Source organism: Homo sapiens, chromosome 16, assembly GCF_000001405.40.
Source record: "Homo sapiens chromosome 16, GRCh38.p14 Primary Assembly".
NCBI lineage: Eukaryota > Metazoa > Chordata > Mammalia > Primates > Hominidae > Homo > Homo sapiens.
This window is the reverse complement of record NC_000016.10, coordinates 22,299,732-22,326,637: the sequence shown is the minus strand read 5'-3', so window position 1 is coordinate 22,326,637 and position 26,906 is coordinate 22,299,732. Positions and strand designations below refer to the sequence as shown.

The following is a 26,906-nucleotide window of genomic DNA, read 5'->3' as shown; positions in this document are numbered from 1 at the left end:
AAGTTAAATCATTCCAAACAATGGCAAAGCTAGTAGGAAACAGGTGTTCTTGGTGGGGGACAGGGTGAGAAACCAGGCAGGGGCCCTGTTTCACTAGGCCCTGCTGCAGGCCAGGCAATAGGCCGGGCCTTCAGACACCGTATTTAGCCCCTACCACAGTCCTGTGACATAAAACCCAACATGATCCCATTTCATGAGAATAGAGCCTCAGAGAGGCTGACTTGCCCATGTCACACCTAGGCCCACGTGAGAGCAGATGCTCACCAAGCATGGCCTCCCGTGTCCCCACGTGGCCTCCCAACAGCTGGTTCTCCCCACCCCCCACCCCCCATGCCCCTGGCAGGCAGGGCTCTACTTACAGGCACCAGTATCTGCTTGCAACCGGCGGCCAGCACCGTGTCCTGTAGCATGCGGTCCGAGATGCCGCTGAAGAGTGTGTGGCCGGGGGGCAGGCTGGCCAAGTGCAGATTGAAGAGGCGCTTGAGTTCGCTCAGCGTGAGCACAAACTGTCTCTGAAAGGTGGCCTCCACGAAGGCCTTCAGTTCCCGAGCCACAGGGGTGCTGGCGCAGCCCTGGGGCGGGTGCCCGTTGAAGCTGTCTGTGCCCGCAGCCCGCCCGAGAGGCAGCCCGTTGGCCAGCTTGCTGTGGAGGCCGCTGGGGGAAGTGTCCATGGGCTCCTCCTCCGCCTCCTGCTCCTCGTCCTCCTCGCCCTCCTCGCTCACGGGCTCCTCCTTGATCCGCACACCGGGCGGGACCGCAGGCACCCGCAGCTGCTCCTTCCGCCGCTGCAGCTCCCGCTCCAGCAACGCGTGGTTCTGCTGGGCCTTGGTTTTGGCTACTTGGATCCGCTGGTCCCCACAGACCAGCCCGGCAGGCCCTGCGGGGAGGGAGGCAGCACTGCTCAGGAGGGCACAGGGATCTGAAGCCAAAAGCCCAGCAGGGGACCGCGGGGCTGCAGCAAGTGGTCCCGTCCTGGTCTCATCCCCAACCTTTCTCGAAAATCAGCCACCCCATCAGTGGAAGAGAGAACCGTCCCAGCGTGCCGAGAGTCATGCGGGGAAGGGTGCTGCTGAGTTCCTCCCCCCAGCAGCTCTTCCGGGCCCGCTTGTTGACCCAAGAGGGTGAGTGAGCCTCAGAGACCTGGAACCCAGACTCAGCCCTGGAATCCGCAAGCCTCCGTCCCTGAGGCTCTGCTGCTGGGCAAGCGACCAGCTGCGGTCTGTGGGTGGCAGGAAAGGAAGGAGGGTGAAGGGTGAACGGTGAGAGCCCTCCACCCTCTCCAGGTCCGGGCCTGACAAGCTCTAGCACAGCAGCCCTTCCGGAGCCACAGTGTAGGAGCCGGGGCCTCCCAGCCCAAAGCCCCTCACACACCTGATTGTGCATCCGGCTTCTTTGGCATGGTTTCCTTTACAAGATTATAGACTTTTTCCAGTCTGAAAAGAAGAGTAACCCCATTAACTTTAAACCACGTCCCCTACCATCTGCTTCACAAGAGAAACAACCACCCCTTAGGCCCCAGGACACGCTGGTTACTGACAGCGCAGGCTTGGAGCTCAGCCAGCCCTACTGAGTCCCTCTTCTGGCAGAGTGCACAGCCCCAGGACCACCCAGACCCCATCAGTCTTCTGCCAACACCCCTCTGGTCCCCAGGCCCCAGCTCTTGCTCCTGAGTGCTCCCTCTCTCCATCACATCCCTCTTCCCTGAGCCCTCAGAGCACGGCCACCCTGATGAGCAGGTACTGGCTGTGTGTCCTGTGCTGAAAGGATGGTGGGATCAGCCAGCAATGCCTATCAGTGTGGGTGAGGAGCGTGGGGCCTGCGGACCCCCACCTGCCCTTCACACCCAGATCCAGCCCAACTGCGCTCTCCCCAGATGTGGGGTTTCTAGAGATTGCTCGGATCCACCCTGACAGTGCTCCCCAGGATGCAGGGTTGCTGGGATCACCGGGCTGCCCCTCCCTGGCCCAGGGTGCTTACTTGGCCTGGATACCCGTCCACAGCATGTGCTGCCGCTGGACCACATCCGGGTGCTTCTTGATGAACTCCCCATCATAAGGCAGAATGAACTCCCAGCCTTTGTTGATCCTCACCACGGCCATGTGCTCCAGGAAGTCCTTCACATCCTCGGCGCAGAGCTGGAGGGGAGGGGGCCCAGCGTGAGGCACAGCCAGCCCCCTCCCCTCCAGCAGCAGCCTGGGCCTCAGACCACAAAAACGCCACTTACTTTGGTCACGGTTGCCACCTCTTTCCTAACCACCCAGCGGCTCTGCGTGAACTTCCACATCTGAGGGAGAAGAAGCAGCACATTCCAGGGGCGGCCACGGACTGCTCCCAGGACTGTCCCGGGAACTCACCTGGCAGGCCTGGGAGCTGGAGCCTGGGACAGTCCTAGGCTCCTGGCCTTGATTCTTCCCAACAGTGTGGCCTCAGGCAGTCCCTTCAGCTCTGCACCTCCCTCCTTTTCTCCTCCATAAAGGAGCTCCAGGCCCATCTCTTCCAAGGGGACCATGGGACCATCCCACCCCACCTAGACCACAGCGCTCCCTGGGGATGCCCTGCCCAGCTCCGAGGATACGATGAGGACTCGGGCTGGGAGGGGCTCCCACAGACACACGCTGTCTGCATAGGCGGCACTTCACAGTGGTGGCTGCTAATGGCTGGTTGGAGGCCGCCCATCCTTCCAGAAGCTCTCAGCCCCCTGCAGCCCCCACTCTGCCTCAACAGCTCCCCTGCACTCTGATTAGATTTGTGGGGTGACTGGGAGAGAGAAGGGTGGCTGGCTGAGAGACACAGGGAATGGATGACTATCACCTACGCTAACATAGACTGGACCACACCCCCACCAAGCCGCCAGTTCTGACAGTGTCTACACACTGGAGCGGGGCGGGCAGGGGCAGCTGGGGGCAAACGGCACTGTATCTGGGGAGGCAAGCCTGGGAGTGGTGATTGTTACATGCTGACCCCTAGGAGCAAAGATGCTGCTCGGGCACCTGGACACCGACTGCCCAGAGGAGTTGGGGAGGCTCCTTCAGGAAGAGAAGAGGCAGATGCTTCCTTCAGCTTAAGGGCTGCCTTGTGACTGGGACGGCACACCAGCGTGCCAAGGGGTGTGGGACAGCTCCTGGGCAGCACGTTTCAGCCAGCACCAAGCCTAGGAAGACTGTGGCTCCCAGCTGCATGGAGTTCCAGGCCTTGGGAGGGAGGCCATGGGTGGGGTGATGGGAAGAAGGGAGACACCAGCTCAGGAGTCCCAAACTCCAGGGACAGGCACAAGGGAGGCAAAGGCACCTGGGACTGTGGTGAACTGGAGACCGCCAGCGCCTTGTGGGGAAGTGGCCCCAGGGGTGTCAGGGAGTCCAATTACCCTTGACAGCTAGACATCTGTCTAGCATCAAGATTTTTTTTACATCAAAATTTCAATTTATAAAATCTGACAACCAAGGCAATATTTCTAAACCACCACTCAGGCCGAATGAAACGTGCTTCTTGACCCACCCCCCGACTGCGCTAGAGGAACTGGAAGGTTCTTTCCAGCCCGAGACTCCAGGCTTCTGAGAGGAAGGAGGAGAAAGGCAGAGGCCAGGGCCTCCTCACACACCCGCCTCCACCTGGAGCCTCTGCCGGGCCCCGGTCTTCAGAAGCCCTGCACCGCTGCCCCCCTCTTCCCACGCCCCCACCGTGAGTCCAGAGAACCCAAGGTACTTACAACGAAGTCTCGGCCCCTGCAGAGCACCTCAGCAGGCACGCCGCTGTGAGGGCTGGACGAGTCCTTGGGGTATAGGATGTCACTGCCAATGCAGGTGAGGATGGCAGGTCAGTCCCTGCCCTGAGCCCCCTCTACCGCTACCCCTCCCGGCCAAGCCCCAGTCCATGCTTCTTTCCACCGTGGGCTGGGTACAGGCCTGAGCCCCAAGACCTCCCCTTAGGAGCCACATCTGTGAACACAGACATGGGAAAGAAGCACCCCTCTACCCCACACATCCCCCCAGTTCTTCCTCTTATTACCCCTCAACCCGCCATGCACACCAGCCTCATCCTAAGACCCCTGCACATTCAGGGAGAGGTCACGGGCTCAGAGACAGACAAGGTGAGGAACAGCCCGGGACCTCAAGGAGCCCAGGACTCTGGAAGACAACTGGTCCCTGCACGTGACACCAAGAGAACCAGGGATGAAGCCATCTGCAAGCCCTTGGCCACCTGCTGAAAGGGGCAGGTGGGCATGAACCGAGGTCAGAGGCAGGGGAGGCATGTTAGCCCTCGGAGAGAACAGGCTCAGCACTCAAGGTTCAGGGAACTTCAGAGGAAAGGCCGGGGCCTTGGACAGCAGGGCACGAGAATCTCCAGAGTGTAGCCCTGACCCAGCTCCAGCCACAGGCCCTGCAACCCCGGCTCAGCCCCTGCTGCGGCACCTGTGCTCTGACTGTCCCTCCCTCTGCTGCCAAGCCCTCCTCCTCCCCCTGCTCAGGTCCACCTGGCAACCAACTGTCACTCATCCTGCAAGGCCACGCTCTGTGGGGACACGGACTCTGCCGATGTGGCTCATCGCTGCCACCACAGCGAAGGTACCTATTAAGTGTGTGCTGACCAAACAAACCTGGTCCATGCCATGATCTCTGCATTCAGGGAGCTCAAATGTAACAGCCGCCATCCCCAGGGGCAGTGTCTGAATGAGAGCCCGGTCCATGGCACAGAACGAGCAGTCTAGCCATAGTGACTGAATGGAGGCATGGATTTTGCATTGTCTCCTCACAGGCACACACAGGACCCTCACCCAGGGGCCCCTGACATGGCAGCATGGGCAGCAGCAGAGTAGGGCTTACAGAAGTGCCGGGGCAGGTGAAATGCCCACAGTCCCCAAGTCCCTACCTTCCAGTCCCCAGGACAGGGCGAAACTAAAAGGGGCAGCACCTCCAGGGGACACATGCAGTGCTGGGTGCAGAGCCCAGGGCTGAGCCATGAGGCTTAGGTTTTAACAGGGCTCTGCGGCTGCCTTGCTGCAAGACTTTTGGCAAGTCCCATGCCTCTCTGGGCCAGTGTCCTCAGGTGTGTGACGGGAGGACCCCTCTTGGCTTTCATTCACTTATGGTGTAAATATACACACGTGGTCCTATGTAATACGCGATGCGCCATTGCAAAAGCCTTCCATGATGAAAACGTGTAACAAAGGACAACAGCCGCAAGGTGCTGACAAACTGCGCTGGGCACCTGTGGAGCAGTGCAAGGGCGCCACCAGGTGGCAGTAACACGAATATACTCTACAACTATGAGGAGCTTTCAAGGCATTGTATTTTCTTAAAATGTTCAACATTTCACATTTTGTCACATTGCTCACCTTAAACTACATTACTTAAAAAGTGAGTTATTAATGCAATTAATGCTACATCATTCAGAATCAATATAATTCAAGTAAAACGTAGCCACATTATTTACCAAGGGTCTGCACTGGTAATATCCAGGCATTATTCCGGGTACTGGGAACATAAAGCAGGAGTCAAAACAGACATCCCTAATCCCTTGAAACTGATGGTCTCGTGGAGGCAGCACATGGTCTAGGGGAGGATTCGCCGAAGAGAAACCACTGAAAGGCATCAAGCCCCACGCTCAAGACCTGTGATCCCCAGCAGAGTATGTAAAAAATTCACACTTAAAGACACATCTAAACGAACCCGTAGAAAACCAAAAACAGAGAAACTCCTAAAAGCAGCCAGAGGAAAACAAAGGCAGGCTGCCTTCAAAGGAATAAGAACAAAACTGCCAACAGAAACAATGAAGTCGGAACACAACAAAATCATATCAACGCGTGGAAAGGAAAATAACCACCAATCTAGAATTCTAGAACAAAGGTGAAATAGACATTTCCAGACACACAAAAACCAAGGAAATGCATCACCAACAGACCCACATTAAAGGAAATACTATAGCATTCTTTAGGCAGAACGAAATGATCCCAGATAGAAACTTAGAGATGCAGAAAGAAATGATGACTAAATTATAAACATGCGAGTAAAGAATATTGATTGACTGGATACAGTAATGTCTTATGGGGCTGAAAACATACAGAGAATTAAAATACACCAGGCCGGGCACGGTAGCTCACGCCTGTAATCCCAGCACTTTGGGAGGCCGAGATGGGTGCATCACCTGAGGTCAGGAGTTCAAGACCAGCTGGCCAACACAGCAAAACCCTGCCTCTTCTAAAAATACAAAAATTAGCCGGGCGTGGTGGCAAGCGCCTATAATCCCAGTTACTTGGGAGGCTGAGGCAGGAGAATCGCTTAAACCCGGGAGACAGAGGTTGCAGTGAGCTGAGACTGTGCCACTGCACCCCAGCCTGGGCAAGAGAGAGAGACTATCTCAAAAAAAAAATAAAAATACACCAATCCTGTGCTCTCTTCGGCAGTACATATACTAAAATTGGAACACTAGAGAAGATTGGCAAATTAAAAAGGTAAAAAAATATATATATACCAATCTAGCAGTGTGTAAGTATGAGGATAGATATAAAATATTCTAAGATCTCTGAATAGATTGGAATGGGGTAAAAAGCAGCAATTAACATTAAAATGTGTTAAGTCATGAATGTAAGCTGAAAACTGTAGGGTAATCAATATATGAGCCCAAACAGTGTAACTTCCAAGTTAGCAGGAAAAAATAGAAACAGAAATGAATCCAGCAGATGGTAAGAATGATATAAAAATCCAATGTAGGCAGGACAAAGGGTACTACAGGGTGACTATAATTAAGAACAATTTATTGTATAATTTTAAATAGCTAGAAAAGTGAAGTTTGAATGTGCCCAACACAAAAATGAGAAATGTTTGAGGGGATAGATATGTTAATTGCCCTGATTTGATCATTACATTGTATACATGTATTTAGATTTCACACTGCCCCCATAAATATGTACATTATGTGTCAATTTAAAAAATGTTTAAATGCGGCCAGGCACAGTGGCTCACACCTGTAATCCCAGCACTTTGGGAAGCCGAGGCGGGCAGATCACGAGGTCAGGAGATGGAGACCATCTTGGCTAACACAGTGAAACCCCATCTCTACTAAAAATACAAAAAATTAGCTGGGCGTGGTGGCGGGTGCCTTGTAGTCCCAGCTACTCGGGAGGCTGAGGCAGGAGAATGGCGTGAACCCGGCAGGCAGAGCTTGCAGTGAGCCGAGATCGCACCACTGCACTCCAGCCTGTGGGACAGAGCGAGACTCTGTCTCAAAAAAAAAAACAAAAAAACAAAAAACAGTTTAAATGCAATGTAGGCAGGACAAATAGAAAGCACTGTAGATTTAAACCCAAAGCACTAGTAACTGCATTAAATTTAAAAGGACCAAATGCTCCCATTAAGAGAATACAGCGTAGGCCGGGCCCGGTGGCTCACGCCTATAATCCTAACACATTGGGAGGTCGAGGTGGGTGGATCACTTGAGGTCAGGATTCGAGACCAGCCTGGCCAACATGGTGAAACCCGTGTCTACTAAAAACACAAAGATTAGCTGGGCATGGTGGCGGGCACCTATAATCCCAGCTACTCAGGAGGCTGAGGCAGGAGAGTTGCTTGGACCTGGGAGGGAGAAGTTACAGTGAGCCGAGATTGCGCCACTACACACCAGCCTGGGCAACAAGAGTGAAGCTCTGCCTCAAGGAAAAAAATAAATAAAAATAAAAAATAAAAAAAGCAACTTACCTCTTCACCACCCAGTTCCCTTGGACCAACATCGCCACCTTCTGGATGCCCCGCAGAACAGCCACGGAATCGATGGAGGGGCCCAGGAGGCTCATCAAGTTGGCAAAAGGCATGACCTTCACTGAGGAGGACGCAGGAGACATCAGACAAGGAAGAGGGGCCGGGCCCTTCCCTCCCCTCCACCGAGAGTCCGCATAGCTTCAAGTTCATGTAATAACCCCAGAATGTGATAACTAACAGTAATGACACCCATCATAGCCAACAGCTGACACTCTCAGGCTGCTCACTACATGCCAGGCACTGGGCACCTCATGAAATCTGAGGATTATATGAAGTGCCCCTTAAGGAAGACTTGAGGGGTGCCTCAGGAGGAAGGGTCTATTACTACTCAGACCTGGAAAGGCTTCAAAGCTCACCCATGATCTCTTGGCTAGGAAGTAGCAGAGCCAGGAAGTGAACCCAAGCCACTTGGCTCCACTTGGTACCCTCAATCACTGTGCTCTGCTCCCGCCCAAGTGAGCCCTGGGCAGGGCCCAGGGAAAGTCCAAAATTTGGCTGGGCGCTTTGGCTCACACCTGTAATCACAGCACTTTGGGAGGCCGAGGGAGGCAGATCACTTGAGGCCAGGAATTTGAGACTAGCCTGGCCAACAAGGCGAAACCCCATCTCTACTAAAAATACAAAAATTAGCTGGGCGTGATGGCGGGCACCTGTAGTCCCAGCTACTCCAGAGGCTGAGGCATGAGAATTGCTTGAACCCGGGAGGCGGAGGTTGCAGTGAGCCGAGATTGTGCCACTGCACTCCAGCCTGGGTGACAGAGCAAGACTGTCTCAAAAAAAAAAAAAGTTCGAAGTCCTCTGCAGGAAGGAAGCCTAAAATCCCGAGCATATCATGGAGCTCCCCTCTCTCCTTAGACTCCTAAGAGCTCATGGTGGCATCTCAAAGGACGAGCCCAGGTTCTGCGGCTCCATTCTGAACTCAAGGATCAGGTCTGTTGTTCACCAGCCACGGGTACCCTAAAGGTTCTGGCACTCAGAGTCCTCTGAGAAAAGGAGACCAGTCCTTATGGTGCCAGGTCTGGCAAGAGTACCCAGAAGCAATGCCAGTGAAGACATTGTCATGAAAATGACCCTAGTTGAGCCGGTGCAGTGAATGGCGTCTGCTTGTAGGCCCAGCCACTCGGAAGGCTGAGGCAGGAGGATCACTTGGGCCCAGGAGTTACACAGCAAAACCTTTAAAAAAAACCTTTAAAACCTTTAAAAAAACCTTAAAAAAAAAAACAACAACAACAACAACAACAACAACAAAAAGCCCCTAGTCCGTGTTCGCCTGCAAGGCCCTGTACTTTAGAAGCCTCCTCTCTCTGATTCCTCACATTGGCCCCCAGGAACTATCATTAGTCTCTTTTCACAGAAAAACAAACAAAGCCTCAGAAAGGTTCATGACCTGCCCAAGAGCATGGCAGACAAGTGGTGAGCATGGCACAGGAACCCGAGCCCGCCTGTGGGGGCCAGACACACTACTGTCCTACATTCACGGGAACCCGGGCTGCCTGCGGGAGCTGGCCGCACTGCCGTCCTGCGTTATCTTTCCAGACAAGGATGCAGCTGCAAAGCTGGGCAGGCTGTGGGCAGCAGGGGCCTCTGGCCTTGTCCCCTGGTCCTCACTGTCCCACAGAGTCCATTCCTCAGGAGCCACTGGGACTGGGGCCCCCGGGTGGGCAGGGGGTAGGCACCCACCATTCTTCATCAGGATCTTGATCTGATCGGCCAGGGGCAGCGTGCGCAGCTGGGCCATCGACAGGACGTTGCTGGGGGCCACAGGCTTGTCTCTGGGAAAAGCAGAGGGGACGGGTTAGAGGCAGCCAGCCCGGAAAGGGAGAGGGTGTCCTGCCGCCTCTACTCACTTCTCCTCCTCCTGGCTGGGTGGCATCAGCATCATCAGGTACTCACTGCAGGGACATGGCAGGGGCAGAGGCTCAGGGCTGATCCAGGCTGGACCCTCCTCACCAGCCACCCAAGTGAGGGTCTGGGGAGAGGGTGCAGACAGCCCACCCCCGCCCTCCCCCAGCAGCCCTGAGCCCCTGCAGAAAAGTGGACCATCTCTTTCCAGGCCCACCCTCCTGGCCTTCTCCAGGGGACAATGGGCTCCACCCTCATGCTACAGGAGGGGCCACAGTCCTCTGGGAGGATCCACACCAAGGACCCCTGGGGACCCTGGGCAGGCATCCAGTTTGCATGCTGGCCCAGCCCATCCCACCTGGGTGACTTGACGAGCTCCGTGTTCTCCACCCCGCTTGAGCCGGGGCACAGCAGGTACTGACGCTCATGCTCAGAGCGACTGTCCTGTTGGAGGAGGGCAGGGTGTGAGAGGAGCCTCAGCTGATGGCCCTGGCCTGGGCCCCCTCCCCCAAGGCCTCCCGTCTTCCACTCCATGGCCAGCCACAGGACCACATCCAACCTCCTGAGCACGGCACCCAAGGCCTCTGACGTGGCCTCAGCCACTCATCTTCCTGGCCTTATGACCTGCCCAGCCCCAGCCCCCAAGCCTCGATGCCTTGTCTGTAACACAGGTACACCACCAGCAATGACAAAATGATGGCTAACATTCACTGGGCATCTAGGATGTGGTGGACTCTGTTCCACTGACTGTAAATATACTAACCCATCTCACCCTCAAAATAACTTGGCAAGGTAGGTACTATTATTACTACTCTCATTTTATAATTAAGAAAACTGAGGCTCAGAGAGGTTAGCTAACATGCCCAAGGTCACACAGCAGGAAACAGCAGTGTCTAGAAGTTTGACCCCGAGTCTAAGGGTCTGTTAACACAAATCTCTTCCAAGAAGGTTCCAGAGAAATCAGGAGTTGTTCCCCACCCCAGAAAATATTGGGAGCCCTGGCCCATGGTGTCTTTGGAAGCATCCCTCACTCAGTACACAGTTTCAAGGGTTAGGTTCTAAAATCAATGCACCAGGGCCAGGTGGTCGTGGCTCACGCCTGTAATCCCAGCACTTAGGGAGCCTGAGGTGGGCAGATCACTTGGAAATCAGGAGTTCGAGACCAGCCTGGCCAACATGGCAAAACCCCATCTCTACTAAAAAAACAAAAACAAAAAAATTAGCAGGTGCCTGTAGTCCCAGCTACCTGGGAGGTTGAGGCAGAAGAATCACTTGAACCCGGGAGGCGGAGGTTGCAGTGAGCTGAGATCGAGCCACTGCACTCCAGCCTGGGTGACAGAATGAGACTGTCTCAATAAATAAATAAATAATAAATAAATAAAAATAAAAGTAAATAAAGTCAGCGTACCAGATGAAAACCAAGCACAGTAAGAAAATCCCCTGGGCAGGTGGTGCTGGGAACTCTGGGGTGGCAACACATGACCGACCCTCTAGGACAGAACCGGAGAATGCATCTGGCCTGCGTTTAGGGCCTGGGCTGCAGCGAAAATATGTTACCAGGCACTAGCCCCACTGCAAGCCCAGCAAGATGCCCATGCCCAGGGGCCAAACCCCACCCAGGGAACCAAGGACTCGCATCTTTTCCTCTTGCTCTCCTGGGGCCCACGCTAAGTGGCTCGGCTGGAGTGAAGTGTAAACTGCCCACAGGACTCGATCCTCTATCTGTGGCTATGACTCATGAATTTGACTTAAGTTCAAGGTGAGACACGGAGGCCACACCATGACCCTTCCGGGCACCGAGGTGTTTCCCCCAGGACCCCACGAAGCCCCGCTCACCCTCAGGCCATAGTAATGCAGGTGGACCCAGGGCTCCTCTGCGTGCTTCTTCTGCAGGAACTCATAGGACTGCACACGGCGCTGGCGGGCCTGCTCTGACTCCGGCCGGGAGAACCGCACCTGCGGTGGGAAGGGGAAGAGGTCATACCGTCAGGCCTGTGACCCTTGCTGGACTGCCGTCTCAGCCCCTGCCAGAAGACCAGAGAACTCCGTATAGGGGTTTTCCACTCTCCCTTCCTTTCCTAGCACAGGTCGTTTAAATTCCGTTCCAACCGTGTCCCTCCCAGAGCTGCCTGCACACGCCAGGGAACGGCTTATACTTGCTCGTGCCTGCCCAGCCCAGAGGCTTGAGGGGGATTAGAGTCCCAGGCGCCAGAGCCAGCAGAGTCCTTAAAGCAGACAGGCCCAGGATGCCTTTTCTAAGTTCCCCAGAGCGGAAGGGAGTTTCTAAGGTCCTAATAAGCTACGGAGAGAACAGGATGAGCTCCCTGCGCCACCTCCATGTCCATTACGCCCGTGTTCCCCGGTCCTCAAGGGCTTCCAAACACTCACCACTCTCTAGCCATACTTGTGTATCATCATTCTACGTGTAGCATTTTTCTTTTGGTACTACTCATTTTAATCTAAATATGCTTAAATAGGGAAAACTTTACAAACCATAAATGGAAGGTTAAGATTCTTTGAAAAATCTTTAAAATTCAGGAATAACTATTAAAACGAAAACTATTCATCCGTGCCCCATAAAGAGGATAGAATCACAGTTAATTGACTTTGGCTCTGTTAAGATACAGGTTCATGGCAGAGCTGGTCTGCGGGTCCTCAGGGCTCCTGGCCCCAGCTTCCTGCTCCCAGGTGACTCTAGCCAAGCCCCAGGCACACATCTCCTGGATCCAGCCAGGGCTTCCATCTTGTGTATAGCTGGAACAACTCAGGTTGTTCCCTCCAGGTAGCCCAGCAAGAAGGCTCAAAAGCATGGGCCCTGTCTGCTCCACCTGCATTCTGTGAAGACCCGCTACCCCTTGGTCTCTGGTCCTGCTGCCGCCCAGGCAGCACCCTCCTCCTCCAGGGGCCAGGGCTCACCGTGATCTGCTTAACATCGTCTTCCGCCTCATCCTGTGAAGAGTCCCCTGCTGCAAGAGAGACAAGCCACTGACTGCAGTCCTGGGGAGCCTCCACCTCCCTTCTCTCAACCCCACCCGCCAGGGAAGCCTCAGGCCGGGGTGCTGGGAGTTCTCCTCGCAGAGGGAGCTGCCTAAGCCAGTGGTTCTCAATCGGGGACAGTTTTGCCCCTTTACCCTGGGGATACTGGGCAATGTGACCTTTTTGATTGTCACGACTGTGGGGTGGGTGCTTCTGGCATCTAGTAGGTAGAGGCCAGGGATCCTGCTAAACATCCTATCATCCCATCCCTCTTCCCAGGACCAAGCCATCCCACCAGGATGAAGGCAGGCAGGCAGCAGGGCTGGGGATCCCGGGCTCACCCTCGTTGGCCGCCTCCCTCTCCCGGTGCTTGGCGTCAGCCTTATCCAGGTAGGAGAAGCTGGGCCGCAGCTGCAGGATGCCATGTAAAGGTGTCAGGTGGAGCTCACCTGGCGGAGGAAGAAGGGCTTGGACTCAACTCTAGAAACCCACCCAGTTTGGCTCAAGAGAGTCACCAAGTCCCGTGAAGGCCTAGGCCCACCATCAAACCGCCTCCCATTCCCGCTGCAGCCCCCAATCCTAGAGTCTTGGGACCACCAGGCCAGGGACCATCCCCACCTCCACCTGGCCTGCTGGACACAGCAAGCACACAGCCCAGACTAGGACAGGAACCTGGACTCTTCTGTTCGAAGCCACTTCCTTCAGTCCCACCTCCCAGTCTGGTTCCACGCCCCTCTCCCCAGCTGCTCGCTTTGCAACACTAGGCAGCTAATCCTCATCAAATTCGCCCTGCTGTTTACCCTCCAGGCCTCGGCCAGCTCAGCCTTACTGTCCCGCCCCACACACCTGGATTTCCTCTCCTTCTTATCCTCCATCTTTTCCCGCCAAAATCCCACCCGTTCCACTAGGAAGTCCACTAGTGCCACTGTGGCTGGAGAAGAGGCCCTGCTAGAACTGGGTGGAGTGTCCACATGGCCTCTGATAAAGATCATGACTTTCCCTCCCGCTGCAAGGGATGTGGCTTTCAAGAATTACATGCTTGAGACATGGGTTCTAAACAGAACGCGCGAGTTATATGACACTACTTTTGATCCTATCCCATTTTGTTTCCTAAGTGTTCAGATTAGTTTCGTTCATTGCTTTTGAGACTAAATACTTAAGCACTTTACTGTTTTTTTTTTTTTTTTTTTTTTTTGAGATGGAGTGTCGCTCTGTCACCCAGGCCAGAGTGCAGAGTGCAGTGCCATGATCTCGGCTCAGTGCAACCTCCACCTCCCCGGTTCAAGTGATTCCCCTGCCTCAGCCTCCCAAGTAGCTGGGACTACAGGTGTGTGCCACCAAGCCCAGCTAAATTTTTTTGTATTTCAGTAGAGATGGTGTTTCACCATGTTGGCCAGGATAGTCTTGATCTCCTGACCTTGTGATCTGCCCGTCTTGGCCTCCCAAAGTCCTGGGATTACAGGTATGAGCCACTGCGCCCGGCCGCGCCTTGTACTTTTTACCAGCTTTGGGACAAGACTCACGTACCATATAGTCCACTCATTTAAGGCATACTAATCAATGTATTTTTGTTTTGAGATGGAGTCTCACTCTGTTGCCCAGGATATTCAGTGGTGCGATCTCGGCTTACTGCAACCTCCGCCTCCTGAGTTCAAGCGATTCTCCTGCCTCAGCCTCCTGCATAACTGGGATTACAGGCACTCACCACCACGCCTGGCTAATTTTTTCTACTTTTTGGAAGAGATGAGATTTTATCATGTTGGCCAGGCTGGTCTCGAACTCCTGACCTCAGGTGATCTGCCCACTTCGGCCTCCAAAAGTGCTGGGATTACAGGCATGAGCCACCACTCCCGGCCATAATTCAATGTATTTTAACGTATTCACAAAGCTGTGCAGCCAGCACAACCAATTTTAGAACATTCTCATCACCACAAAAAGAACCAGGCAGTCCCCACTCCACTCTCCCACTAGTCCCTGGTAGCCACTAATCTACTTTCTGCCTCTGTACATTTGCCTATTCTGGACATTTCACATACAGCCACACATCACTTAACAATAGGGATACGTTCTGAGAAATTCATCCTTAGGTGATTTCATCGTTGTGCAAACATCGCAGAGTGCACTCACAGAAACCCAGATAGCAGAGCCTACTACACGCCTCGGCTCTATGGTATGGCCTATTGCTCCCAGGCTACACACTGTACAGCATGTTACTCCCCTGAATACTGTAGGCAGTTGTAACAGAATGGTATTTGTGTATCTAAATATACCTAGGCTGGGTGCAGTGGCTCATATCTGTAATCCCAGAACTCTGGGAGGCAGAGACAAGAGGATCGCTTGAGCCCAGGAGTTCGAGACCAGCCTGGGCAACATAGCAAGACCCCACCTCAACAAAAAATTTTTTAAAAAATTAGCCAGATGTGGTGGCATGGCCTGTAGTCCTAGCTACTCAGGAGACTGAGGGAAGGCAATTGCTTGAGCTCAGGAGATAGAGGCTGCAGTGAGCTATGATCACCACTGTACTCCAGCCTGGGTGACAGAGTGAGACCCGGTCTCCAAAAAAAAAACCCCAAAACAAACAACAACAAAAAAACACACCCAAAAAACCCTAAACATAAAAAAGGTACAGTAAAAGTATAGTATAAAAGACTAAAACCAGCTTATAGGACAAGCTGCTCTGGATGAGTGAGTGGTGAGTGAATGTGAAGGCCTATGACATTACTACACGCTACTGTAGACTTCATACAGACTGCACACTTAGGCTACACTAAATTTATTAAAAAAAAAAAAAAAAAAAAAAGGCTGGGCACAGTGGCTCATGCCTATAATCCCAGCACTCTGGGAGGCCAAGGCTGGTGGATCACCTGAGGTCAGGAGTTCGAGACCAGCCTGGCCAACATGGCAAAAACCCTGTCTCTACTAAAAATACAAAAATTAGCTGGGCATGGTGGTGTGTGCACCTGTAGTCCCAGCTACTCGGGAGTCTGAGACAGGAGAACTGCTTGAAACCGGAAGGCAGAGGTTTCAGTGAGCCAAGATTGAGCCACTGCACTCCAACTTGGGCAACAGAGTGAGACTCCCTCTCCAAAAAATAAATCAATAAATAAATTTATGAAAAATATATCTTTATTGTATATGCTTTTTTTCAAGACAGAGTCTTGCTCTATTGCCCAGGCTGGAGTGCAATGGCGGAATCTCAGCTTACTGCAACCTCCGCCTCCCAGGCTCAAGCAATCCTCCCACCTCAGCTTCCTCAGTAGCTGGGACTAAGGGATGTGCCACCATGCCCAGCTAATGTTTGTATTTTTTGTAGGGAAGGGATTTCACTATGTTGCCCAGGCTGGTCTGGAACTCCTGGGCCTGCCTCGGCCTCCCAAAGCACTGGGATTACAGGTAGGAGGCAACACACCCGGCTATATGCTTTTTACCTTTTTTTTTTTTTTTTTAAACTTTTTAAACTTTCTACTAAAAACTAAGACACAGGCCGGGCATGGTGGCTCACACCTGTAATCCCAGCACTTTGGGAGGCCGAGGTGGGCAGGTCACCTGAGGTCAGGAGTTTGATATCAGCCTGGCCAACGTGGCAGAATCCCATCTCTACTAAAGATACAAAAATTAGCCAGGTGTGGTGGTGCATGTCTGTAATCCCAGCTACTCGGGAGGCTGAGGCAGGAGAATCGCTTGAACCCAGGAGGCAGAGGTTGCAGTGAGCCGAGACTGTGCCACTGCACTCCAGCCTAGGCAACAGAGCGAGACTCTGTCTCAAAACAAAACAAAACAAACGAACAAGCAAAAACCTAAGACACAAACATACGAGTTAGCCTAGGCTTACACAGGGTCAGGCTCATTAAGACATCACTAGGTAAGCCAATTCTTCAGCTCCATTATAATGTTATGGGACCACCGTTGAGTATGTGGTCGGTCGCTGACTGAGACGTAATCACACAGCGCGTAGCTGCGAGTGAAGAAGCATGTGGCTTCTTTCACTTAGCACAATGTTCTCAAGGCTCATCTGCGTGGTAGCATCACTGCTTCATTCTTTTCCATGGTCAAATAACATCCCATTGCGTGAATGGACCACATTCTGTTTCTCCATGAATCCAGCGGATGGGCATCTGGGTTGTTTCCACTTTTTGGCTATCATGAAGATGCTACTGTGAACAACTGTGTATGGTTTTGTGTGGACACATGTTTTCATTTCTTTTGGATAGATGCTGCCTAGGAATGGAATTGCTCTGTCATAAGCTTCATATTTAAAGACAAAATTCTGTCCCTAAACTTATGTTAGCTACTTGTATGTATCTGTGTCCCGGGAGGACAAATGAACTTGGAGCCCCACCCCATCTGGTCAGGCAGTGTCCAGCCAGCAGTCCACAAAGGTGGCCACTTCCAGTCCCCTGACAATGTGTCATTTCTGTTATTTCCACACCTGCCCGGCCCCCACAGGTGTCTAGCTTTCAGGGCAGGTGGGAGATGGACACCAGGCTGGGGAGGTACTCTCCCTGCCCAGCCCCCCCCAATGCCATGTCCCCACCGCGGGACACCCAGCCCCGGGTACCTTGCCTGTAGAGTGCAGCGGCATAACGGGATGTGTTACTGGTGGTCTGGGAAGAGCAGAAGGTCTGCTTGTCCATCAGCTTCCTGGAGCACAGGGAGAAGCAACGTCACAGGGGAAGGCAGCTCCGAGCCAGGGCCTGTGGCCACAGCGCACCCCACCCCCTAGACACTTTCTGAAGTGCCACAGCCAGGGACCAAGGCCGCAGGGCAGCCTACGCGGGTCTCAGGAGGGCAGCCTGGGGATGAGAAAACCCATGGCCTTGTTTGTAGACCAAGAGACGAGGAGTGGGTAGGAGCTCTGGGACCAGCTAGTTCAGGAGGGCAGAGTCTGAGACAGGCCCAGCCCTCCAAAGGCTGGGACACTGGTGGGGAGCCCAGTGACGGGGCAAAGGGGGTCAATGTCTTTAAGGTCTTTTGGAGGCTCCTGTGTGAACGCAGGGAAACCGGACAGGCTTGGGGCCGGAAACTCACGAGGAATACGTGCTGGTCTCGTCGGCGCAGGCCCCGTCCACGTTCAGCGCAATCTGCTCCCCTTTGCTGCGGCAATAGTTGGGGTTCAGGGTGTCGATGGCCATCTCAAGCTCTACCTGGAGGCACCAAGCACCCCCACCAGCTATGAGGACCCCAAGGCATGGCTCCTCAAGGGACACCCCAACCCCACCATGGCCACCTCCTAACCAGGACCCTGCCCGGAAGCGAGACTGACACATGTCCCCAAGGGCCCCTGGACTTCAGTCCACACCAAGGGTCACAAACCCAAATTCCAACAAAAATGTCAGAAGGAAGTGGAGAGTCCTGTAATCTTGTTTGTCCTCTACTTCACTCCCAAAGACCTAAATTAGGTGCCAACATTTAAAAATCAAGAGATTTCTCATAAAAATCCTTATTTCCCACTTCTCTTGAAAAGCCAGCAGAACTGGCAATACTGGGATGGCACTTCCATGTGGCTGGAGGGGCTAGAGCTGCAGACCCTCCATGGATAGGCGCTAGATTCTCTTCCCATCAAACCTACTCCATGTTCACCCGCCCGCCCTCGTCTTATCCTGGGAACCTAAGCTCACATCTGGCCCCATTCTCTCATTCATCAGCCTCATGCGTCCCTGGCCTCTCTGGAGCTGCCCATCCCTGTCTTTCTGGACACTTTCCTTCTTCAGCTTTCAAGGGCCTGGGAGTTGCTGGTTCTCCTACTTCTCCAATGACTCCTTCTCTGAGCTTCTCGCCTCCACCAGCTCCCACCCTCATCACCCTCTCTTTCGGCCCCAACTGCCCTCAGGGGGCAGCCCCACCTTCTGCTGCTTGGGCTTGATCTTGGCTGAGAGGTGCGGAATGTCATCGTAGGTCATCGAGGCTGGACGCACAGGGTACTGGGGAGGGGAAGGGAGCCATTAAGTCCACTCTGCCCAGCCATGCCCAGAGCTGGGCCCTGGCCAAGAATCAACAGCTATCTCCAAGCCCACCCCAAGCAGAGACTGGCCTTACCCTACCACAAGGGTACAAGCTGCCCAGCCCTACCATGAGGCACCCCTGCCAGTCTCCACCCGCAGCCCTATTCTCATCAGCTCCCCACGGCCTCCTTCCAAAGGGCCACTGCAGGATGTCTCTGACTTCCGAGGGACGTGTCTACACACAGGAACCCAAACCGGCACGCTGCTGCTCCAGGAACCCACAGAGCACGGCCATGGGAGGTGAGGATGGGGGTCCAGGGCCTAACTACCAGTGGACAGGCCATCCGGGGAGAGAAGGACGACCAAAAGGAGTCCATGAGGAAGCAAAGAGTGAAAGCAACACCGGCACGTGCTGCTCACTGCTGAGGCCAGACGACGGGCAGGTGGGAATTCGTGAATCCATTCGCTCTCCTTATCTGGTTGTGTGAGCTTCCTCACAAGATGCTGGAAAAGGGAGCCAGGCAGCCATGGCCCGCTCTTATCTTTATGTGAATGGCTCACACAGCAATGCGCTCAACACGCAGGGGCTCCTGTCCACATCTGTCCTCACAGTACACTGTCCCTCTCTCTCTCAGGTGAAGGAGTCAAAGTCTGGACCCCTCCTCAAAAGCTCTGCCTGGTCTCATGACAGCCTGTAGAATGAGCCTGGTGGAGGTATGGCAGTGCGGAAAATAGGCCCTTTCAGATCAGCTACATTCTAGCGCAAGGAGACGGTCATTTCCTAAAAGCTCACTCACACAGCAAAGCCGTGACTCCTCCCTGCTTCCTGGGCTGGGGCTGGGGGCAGTTCTGAGATCACCTGACTGGGGGTGGGAAGGCTGAAGGGCGCAGGTTCTGAAATCACAGGCCTGGCTTCCAGTCCTCATCCTTCCCCTTGCTAACTGTGGACTCAGGCAGGCACCTCGCCTCCCTGAGGCTAAGCATCCTCACCTCCCAAGGCCGCTGTGAGCACGGAGGAGGCAAACAGAGCCGATGGTGGCTCAGGGTTTGGAACTCTGGACACACGGGGGTCACTGGCACCTCCACCATCACTTTGCAGCCAGTCAAGGAAACAGGGTGAGCAGGCACACAGGACAGGCCCCATTCCCACGGCCCATAAGGGTGAACCCCAGGGAGTGGAGGCCAGGCCCTCCCAGCACAGGCTTACAACATTGCTGCTGTGGCATGCCCCAGGCCTCCGTGCCCGTGAAGGCCTCCCTGTGCCTCACGTTCTCATGTGCATCATGGGATATGAACACTGACTCTAACTGTGGGAAGGCAACATGGGGCAGAGCAGCCCAGCAGTGCCTCAAAAAGCTAAACGCAGACCCAGCAATTCTGCTACCAGGCATATACCTAGAAGAAATGAGAATTCACGTTCATCATAAAAACTTCTATGTGAATGTCCACAGTGGCATTATTTATAATAGCCAAAAAGTAGAAATAACCCAAATACCCATCAGCTGATGAATGGATAAACAAACTGTGGTCTCCCATACAATGGAACATTATTCATCAGTAAAAGATCAAATATTGGCTGGGAGCGGTGGCTCACACCTGTAATCCCAGCACTATGGGAGGCCGAGGCAGGCAGATCACAAGGTCAGGAGTTCGAGACCAGGCTGGCCAACATAGTGAAACCCCATCTCTACTAAAAATACAAAAATTAGCCGGGCTTGTGGCGCGTGCCTGTAGTCCCAACTACTCAGGATGCTGAGGCAGAATCACTTGAGCCTGGGAGGCAGAGGTTGTGGTGAGCCGCAATCAAGCCACTGCACTCCAGCCTGGGCAACAGAGCAAGACTGTGTCTCAAAACAAACAAACAAAAAAAAGAAAAGCTCAAATATTGATGCAGGCTATAGCTACCATGTGGATGAGCCCTGAAAACATCATGCAAAGTGAGAGCAGCCAATCACAGCAGGCCACATACTGCATGATTCCAGCTATGTGAAAAGTCCGGAATAGGCAAAACCATAAACAGAAAATAAGGGGAATGGTTGCCTGGGGTTGGAGGTGGGAATGGGGGGCACAGACTGATCGCTAATAGGCAAGGGGTTCCTTTAAAGGGGGACAAAACTGTCCCAAAACAGACTGTGGCGCTGGTTGCACAGCCCCATGAGTAGACTAAAATCCATTGCATTACACACTGAAATGGGGAAACTGTGTGGTGTGTAAATTCTATCTCAATATATCGGTTATAAAATGTAATAATCACCACCATAGGGTTATTGTGGGGTTAAAGAGGTAACTGAGGTAAATGCTTTCAACAGTCTGCATACGGTCAATGCTCAATACATGTTGGCCACAATGACAAGCTGCTGGCCCAGCAGCAAGGGGAGGGGGCAGAGGTAGCAACCCGGGGCCCTCGCAGCTGGCAGGACTGAGGGCTCACAGACGCTGCCATGGAGCTGCCCCTTGGAGCCTCCATGACAACAGCGGCCATCATCACTGGCACCAACTCTCTGCCAGGCGGCATCCTAAACACTTCACTGTGGACTCAGCCTGTCCTCCTGGGGACCTATGAGGCAGGCATTATCACCATCACCACTTTGCAAGTGAGGAAAGTGAGGCACAGAAGGATTAAGAAACTTGCCCACGGTCTCGCAGCTATGGTGTGATGGAGTTGGATCTCAATCCGGTCTGACCCCAGAGCCCCAGCTTTAACTGCTGCACACTTCTGCCTCTCCTGTGTTCCTTCAGTTTTCCCATCTTTGAAATGAGACCAATATTAACCCACCCACGAAAGCAAAGAGACCCCATGACACTCTCCACACCGAGAACCCTAGCTGAGGTTTCCCATCGTTTCCTGCCCGTGTTCCTGAGTCCACACCACCCACCCACACCTGCTTCTCCCCTCTTTACCTTCAAGTCCCATAATTACCTGAAATAGATACAGCTTTTCCGCCAGACTCTTGGCCAAGTACACATCGATCTGGGAAGAAGGGAAGACGACTTAACCGGGAGACTGGACACAGTGCTGACCTCCCCGGGCTATGCCAGCGCTTCCAGCTTCAGTTAAGGGCAGTGGCTCAGGGAAGCAGTTTGGGGAAGGAGGAAATAGCTCAGCTCATGCTAAAAGCAAGCGGATCCAAGGCTGCACACTGGGTATATTCAGGAATCCCTCCTGAAAGCTCCCAGGGGAACCAGGGCAAGAGTTCACCTGGTACCCCCACCCAAGTTCACAATCCCCCAGTAAGCACACATCTTCCCTGGGGCTGCACTGATCGGGAAACGTCCTACAGCCTGGGCAAATGCTCTTCTGAGAGGCAGGCAGGCGAGGGCTCACCTAGGCCTGTGCCTCCTGGCTGGGCCCTCCACCTGCCCCTCCTGGACCAGCCTGTCACCCCTTCTTAAGGGGTCTGCAAGGCCCTTTGTGACTGATGGCTCCACTTCCTTTCTTCCCAACACTAACCACCCCCACCCCGCCACGCAGCAGTTTACCTTCCTGCTTCCTAACTCCTCCTATAAACCACATGCTCTCCTACCCCTGGGCCTTTGCACATGCTTTTCCCTATACCTACAGAGCCCTTCACACATGCCTCCCCTGAGCCTTGACTGCTCGCTCCTCCAAGGACTTGGCTGAGGCACAACTTGGGCAGGAAGCATTCCAGGCCCCCTGGCTGCAGAGGGCACTGCCTCTGTCCTCGGAGTCCCTTGGACTCTTCTATCCCATCACCAACCCCCCTGTTGTAACTCCTGCTACTGCAGTGTAGATGCAGCTTAAATGCATCTAAATAACTCACATCTAATAACTTAGCAACATCCCCCAAGCAAGGAAAAACCACCTCTATTCATCTCCGAGGACCTTCTCCTTGCCCCTGCCCTTCCCACTGGAGGTCAGGCTCCGCATATAAGGAGGCTGAAGGCAGATGCAGTTACTTTTTGCCTTTTGCCTTCCAAAGGTCTAAGTCCTGGGTTAAAAGGATTCTGAAAGGTGAGTTTGACTATCAACAGCTTTCTCTAAGAAGGGAAACCTGTGCCGGCCATGGTGGCTCATGCCTGTAATCTCTGCACTTTGGGAGGCCCAAGGTGGGTGATCACTTGAGGTCAGGAGATCGAGACCAGCCTGGCTATCATGGTGAAATCCCATCTCTACTAAAAATACAAAAATTAGCCAGGTGTAGTGGCGGGCGCCCGTAATCCCAGCTACTCAGGAGGCTGAGGCACAAGAATCGTTTGAACCCAGAGGCAGAGACTGCGGTGAGCCAAGATAACACTACTGCACTCCAGCCTGGGAGACAGAGTGAGACTCCGCCTCAAAAAAAAAAAAAAAAAAAAAATTAGTCGGGCGTGGTGATGGGCACCTGTGATCCCAGCTACTCAGGAGGCTGAGGCAGGAGAATCGCTTGAACCTGGGAGGTGAAGGTTGCAGTGAGCCGAGATGGCACCACTGAACTCCAGCCTGGGCAACAGAGCAAGACTCTGTCTCCAAAAAAAAAAAAAAAAAAGGGAAATCTGCCTCCCACTGCCTGTACCCGGAGACTCCTGCCTCATCAGTCTTGCCCACAGCCCATTAGCTTCCCAGGGAAGGGGACCCTGCCCTGCTCACTGATGTGTCACAGCCCCCAGCACACAGTGGTCCAGTGAACAGCTGCTGAATGACTACATCTGCGTAAGCCTGGGAAGGAGGGACTGCTGAGCCCATTTATTCATTCATTCATTCACCAAATAGTCGCCGGGTACCTGGGTGCCAGGCACTATACTCGGCTTTGCGGCACAGCAGTGGACGGGAAAGAAAGCAATCAACTGATATCTAGGGGATGACGGGGGCTAGGCCAAGTATGAGTTACCGCCAAGGTAAGGGCAGAGAGAGGCACGGGAGGGTGCAGGAGGGGAGCTGGGTGTGGAAGGGCAGTCAGGGAAGGCCTCCCTGATGAGGTGATGCCAGATCAGAGACCTGAAGGAAGGGAGAGGTCAGCCACGCAGGGGTCTGGGGGACAGCAGAGGGGACCAGGCAGAGGGAACAGCAAGGGTTAGGGGTCCCAGAACATCAACAGGTCCCAGACTGGCCTGAGGACACATGGAAAGGACCCAATTCCACTGCCTGTAGCCCCGGCGGCAGGGGACAGAGAGCAGCAGTTACCTCCTGTACAACTGGGTCATCCTCTTCATTGGCCATACTAGAGGAGAGCCAGCCGCGCAGTCCTTCAGCTCGATCTGCAAAGGAGGGCGAGAGACTGGGACCATCAGTCGTTCAACCAACATTTCCTTGTGCCTATTCTGCAACAGGCCCTGCACTGGGAGGGGGAGCCCACAACCAACCAACTGACCTTCTTTCTACATCTACATTGAAGTCAACAATGGATGACCAACCCTATACCCCATCAGCCAGAAGAAATAAAGAAAAAAAGAAACACTCAAGCAGCGGGTGCAAGCGGGTAGACCAAGCCAACAAGTGTGGGCTGCACCTGCGGGGAAAGGCAAATGACTGGCTTTAATGGTTTCTTCTCTGCTCACAGAGAATTCACTGCCAGACAGAAGGATAGAGGTTGGCTGGTCCCAGCCATGATTAAAACACTGGAGAACTGAGGGCCCTGGGGACGCTTTAAAGAGGAGCCAGAAGTTGAACAGGAAGACAGACAGTCCAAAGCTCTCTGATATTTGATTTTCAAGCTGACTTTAACTCGAATCCTGAGTGAGATGACTCTTCTGTGTTTTTGGTCTAAAAATGACCTCTTCACACACTCTTCTGTCCTGTATTCAACACAATGACCCTATGAGGTGTGGTGATTGTCACTGTTTTATAATGAACAGACTGGAACTCAGAGATACTGTGTGCATTTTGACCCAAAGTCACATAGCAAGCAGGATGATGAACTGGACTTCAAATCCAGGCTGTCTGACCTCAGGTGACAGGTACAGGTAGGGGAGTTGAGAGGCGGGAAAGGCCTTTCTGCTGGGGAGGAGGCACGTTAGGTGCGCCTGGAAGAAGAGAGAGCTTTGGGCAAGTCATGACAACAGAGGGGAGGAGAAATTCCAGGAAGAGGGAAGGCTGTAGGTCTCCACGGGGCAGGTTGAGTATTTCAGCTGGTCTGCCCCTTCACATACCCAAAGAGAAGAGGGGTGGTCATAGGTAGGATGGTACTCAGGCACCCCCAGGCCTCAGCAGTTCCCAAACCTCTGCTCTTGGGTGAGACTAGCATGAATTTTTTTTTTTTTTTTTCTTGAGACGGAGTCTTGCTCTGTCACCCAGGCTGGAGTGCGGTGGTACGATCGGCTCACTGCAACCTCTGCCTCCCGGGTTCAAGCGATTCTTGCCTTAGCCTCCCAAGTAGCTGGGATTACAGGCATGCACCACCAGGCCCGGCTAATTTTTCTATTTTTAGTAGAGACAGGGACTTGCCATGTTGGCCAGGTTAGTCTTGAATTCCTGACCTCAGGTGATCTGCCCGCCTTGGTTTCCCAAAGTGCTGGGATTACAGGCGTGAGCCACTGCGCCCGGCTGAGACCAGCATGATTTTTGTCTGATCTACTTAACATTTGAACTATCTAATATTTATTTATTTTTAAGACATGTCTTGCTCTGTCACCCAGGTTGAAGTGCTCTGCCGTGATTTTGACTCACTGCAACCTCTGCTTCTTAGGTTCAAGTGATTCTCCTGCCTCAGCCTCCCAAGTAGCTGCAATAATTGGCATGCACCATCCGCTCAGCTAATTTTTGTATTTTCAGTAGAGACGGGGCTTTGCCATATTGGCCAGGCTGGTCTCGAACTCCTGGCCTCAAGTGATTCACCTGTGTTGGCCTCCCAAAGTGCTGGGATTACAGGCATGAGCCACCACACCTAGACAAAAGCCAAAGTCTTTATCATCCCATGTAAACCCTAAACAATCTCCTGCCCCTTGACCTGCCAGACCTCATCTCCCACAAGCCTCCTACCCTCCTCTCTGCTCCAAACCCACTTCTGGGGCTTTGTAGCTGCTCTACCCCCCCGATAACCTCATGGTCCCCCCTTCACCTCTTTCCGGTTTTTGCTCAAATGTCACCTTGTGGCTAAGACCTTCCCTCTCCAAATCACATTGCAAACTGCCTCCCCCACCCCTCAATTCCCTTCTCTGCTCTGGTTTTCTCCATAGCAGGTGTCTATCACCATGTGACAGTTTACAGCTCTGCATCTGTGCCCATCTCTATTGCCACTAAGCTGTAAGCTATGTGAAGGCAGAGATTTTGGTCTATTTTGTCCCTTGTGGTACCCCAAGTGCCTAGTACACAGCAGGCACTCAATACATGTTTGTTGTCTAAATAAATGAACCATGGGAATGCTATTTAATAGGAAGCTACAGAAGGATTTCGGGCAGAGGAAGACATGGAGCGGGTAGAAAGAGAAACTTCAGGGAAACAGCTATCGTAACAGTCCCAGAGATGGAGGATGGAATGAAAATCAGGAGTCGCATCTGGACAGTTTCAGTGCATCTCGACTGTCTGCTGTGCAGACAGAGGGCAGTGTAGAGCGGAGAGCCCAAGGCCTCACCCCATCTGCACCGGCTGCCAAGTGCCACAGATATGTCAAGCTCCTGCCTTCTCTGCAGCTGGGCAGTGGACAACTGAGAGGCTGGGGCCTGGGAGGTTCCCAAGACGCAATTGTTCTTTCTTGGCTATTGCTATGCCCTGTTGGCCTCTGCCCTGCCAGGGATCAGGGAGGCTGAGGTGCCCTGTCAGCTAGAGAGCTGGAGCTCCTTCCTCTGGATAGTACATCTGGGTTGATACAAAGAGTGTCACCTCCCTTCATCCTCCAGGCCGAGGTGATCCAACTCAGTGGCTTTCAAAGTTTTCAGCCTAAGATCCACCACAGTAAGAAATCCATCTCATATAAATAACCCAGAACATACATACAGTTGCATAACTGAAACAAGGTTTCACGTAACTATAACTGTCCCTACTATATGTCAGGCCGTGATGTTTTCTACTTCATTCAAAACAAAAAATGCTAGCTTCAATTCCCTTAAATTGATTTTACTTCCCACTAATAAATTTTAACCTGCAATGTGAAAAGCACTCATCCAAGTCTCCCTACGGCTCCTTATACCTACCTCCAAGTCTCCCAGCAACAGTGAGTCTTTGGAAAGAAGTAAATCAGGCTGGCATGGTGGCTCATGCCGGTAATCCCAACACTTTGGGAGGCTTAGGTGGAAGGACTGCTTGAGACCAGGAGTTCGAGACCAGCCTGAGCAACATAGTGAGGCGCCCCCCGCCCCCCGGTCTCTCTTTAAAAAAAAATTTTAGCCTGGCATGGCCTGCAGTCCCAACTACTTGGGAAGCTGAGGCAGCAGGATTGGTTGAACCCAGGAGTTTGAGGCTGCAGTGAGCTATGATCACACCACTGCGCTCCATCCTGGGTCACAGTGTGAGACTCGATCT

The 26,906-nt window shown here is 53.2% G+C and overlaps 1 protein-coding gene across 9 annotated transcripts in view, besides 3 other annotated features; it reads right to left on the bottom strand.

Annotated features, from left to right (window-relative positions):
- POLR3E (RNA polymerase III subunit E) overlaps window positions 1-26,906 on the bottom strand; it is a 37,688-nt gene that overhangs the window by 8,459 nt on the left and 2,323 nt on the right. For 5 of the 9 annotated variants that reach the window (NM_018119.4, NM_001258033.2, NM_001258036.2 and 2 more), the window contains exons 2-18: window positions 23,634-23,707; window positions 21,432-21,482; window positions 18,413-18,490; window positions 17,598-17,713; window positions 17,128-17,210; window positions 12,911-13,018; window positions 12,510-12,559; window positions 11,430-11,549; window positions 9,952-10,037; window positions 9,599-9,643; window positions 9,432-9,523; window positions 7,692-7,812; window positions 3,707-3,788; window positions 2,225-2,284; window positions 1,978-2,135; window positions 1,372-1,433; window positions 360-877 (exon numbers count right to left, since the gene is read on the bottom strand). In NM_018119.4, coding sequence (NP_060589.1) covers window positions 360-877; window positions 1,372-1,433; window positions 1,978-2,135; window positions 2,225-2,284; window positions 3,707-3,788; window positions 7,692-7,812; window positions 9,432-9,523; window positions 9,599-9,643; window positions 9,952-10,037; window positions 11,430-11,549; window positions 12,510-12,559; window positions 12,911-13,018; window positions 17,128-17,210; window positions 17,598-17,713; window positions 18,413-18,490; window positions 21,432-21,482; window positions 23,634-23,669 — 1,866 coding nt within the window. In that variant the 5' untranslated portion in view covers window positions 23,670-23,707. The remainder of the gene's footprint in view (window positions 1-359; window positions 878-1,371; window positions 1,434-1,977; window positions 2,136-2,224; window positions 2,285-3,706; window positions 3,789-7,691; window positions 7,813-9,431; window positions 9,524-9,598; window positions 9,644-9,951; window positions 10,038-11,429; window positions 11,550-12,509; window positions 12,560-12,910; window positions 13,019-17,127; window positions 17,211-17,597; window positions 17,714-18,412; window positions 18,491-21,431; window positions 21,483-23,633; window positions 23,708-26,906) is intronic. The other 4 variants (NR_047581.2, XM_011545892.3, NM_001258034.2 and 1 more) reach the window with 4 other exon arrangements.
- Window positions 3,829-4,378: an enhancer, noted in NCBI's record as "H3K27ac-H3K4me1 hESC enhancer chr16:22333581-22334130 (GRCh37/hg19 assembly coordinates)". NCBI's record gives its function as "activates a minimal SCP1, AML or CMV promoter by ChIP-STARR-seq in primed H9 embryonic stem cells {active_cell/tissue: H9 hESC(primed)}" and the evidence as "EXISTENCE:reporter gene assay evidence [ECO:0000049][PMID:30033119]".
- Window positions 4,379-4,926: an enhancer, noted in NCBI's record as "H3K27ac-H3K4me1 hESC enhancer chr16:22333033-22333580 (GRCh37/hg19 assembly coordinates)". NCBI's record gives its function as "activates a minimal SCP1, AML or CMV promoter by ChIP-STARR-seq in naive H9 embryonic stem cells {active_cell/tissue: H9 hESC(naive)}" and the evidence as "EXISTENCE:reporter gene assay evidence [ECO:0000049][PMID:30033119]".
- Window positions 25,856-26,150: a silencer, noted in NCBI's record as "tiled region #3906; HepG2 Repressive DNase matched - State 25:Art, and K562 Repressive DNase unmatched - State 25:Art". NCBI's record gives its function as "represses a minimal TATA promoter and a strong SV40 promoter by Sharpr-MPRA in HepG2 and K562 cells {active_cell/tissue: HepG2 | K562}" and the evidence as "EXISTENCE:reporter gene assay evidence [ECO:0000049][PMID:27701403]".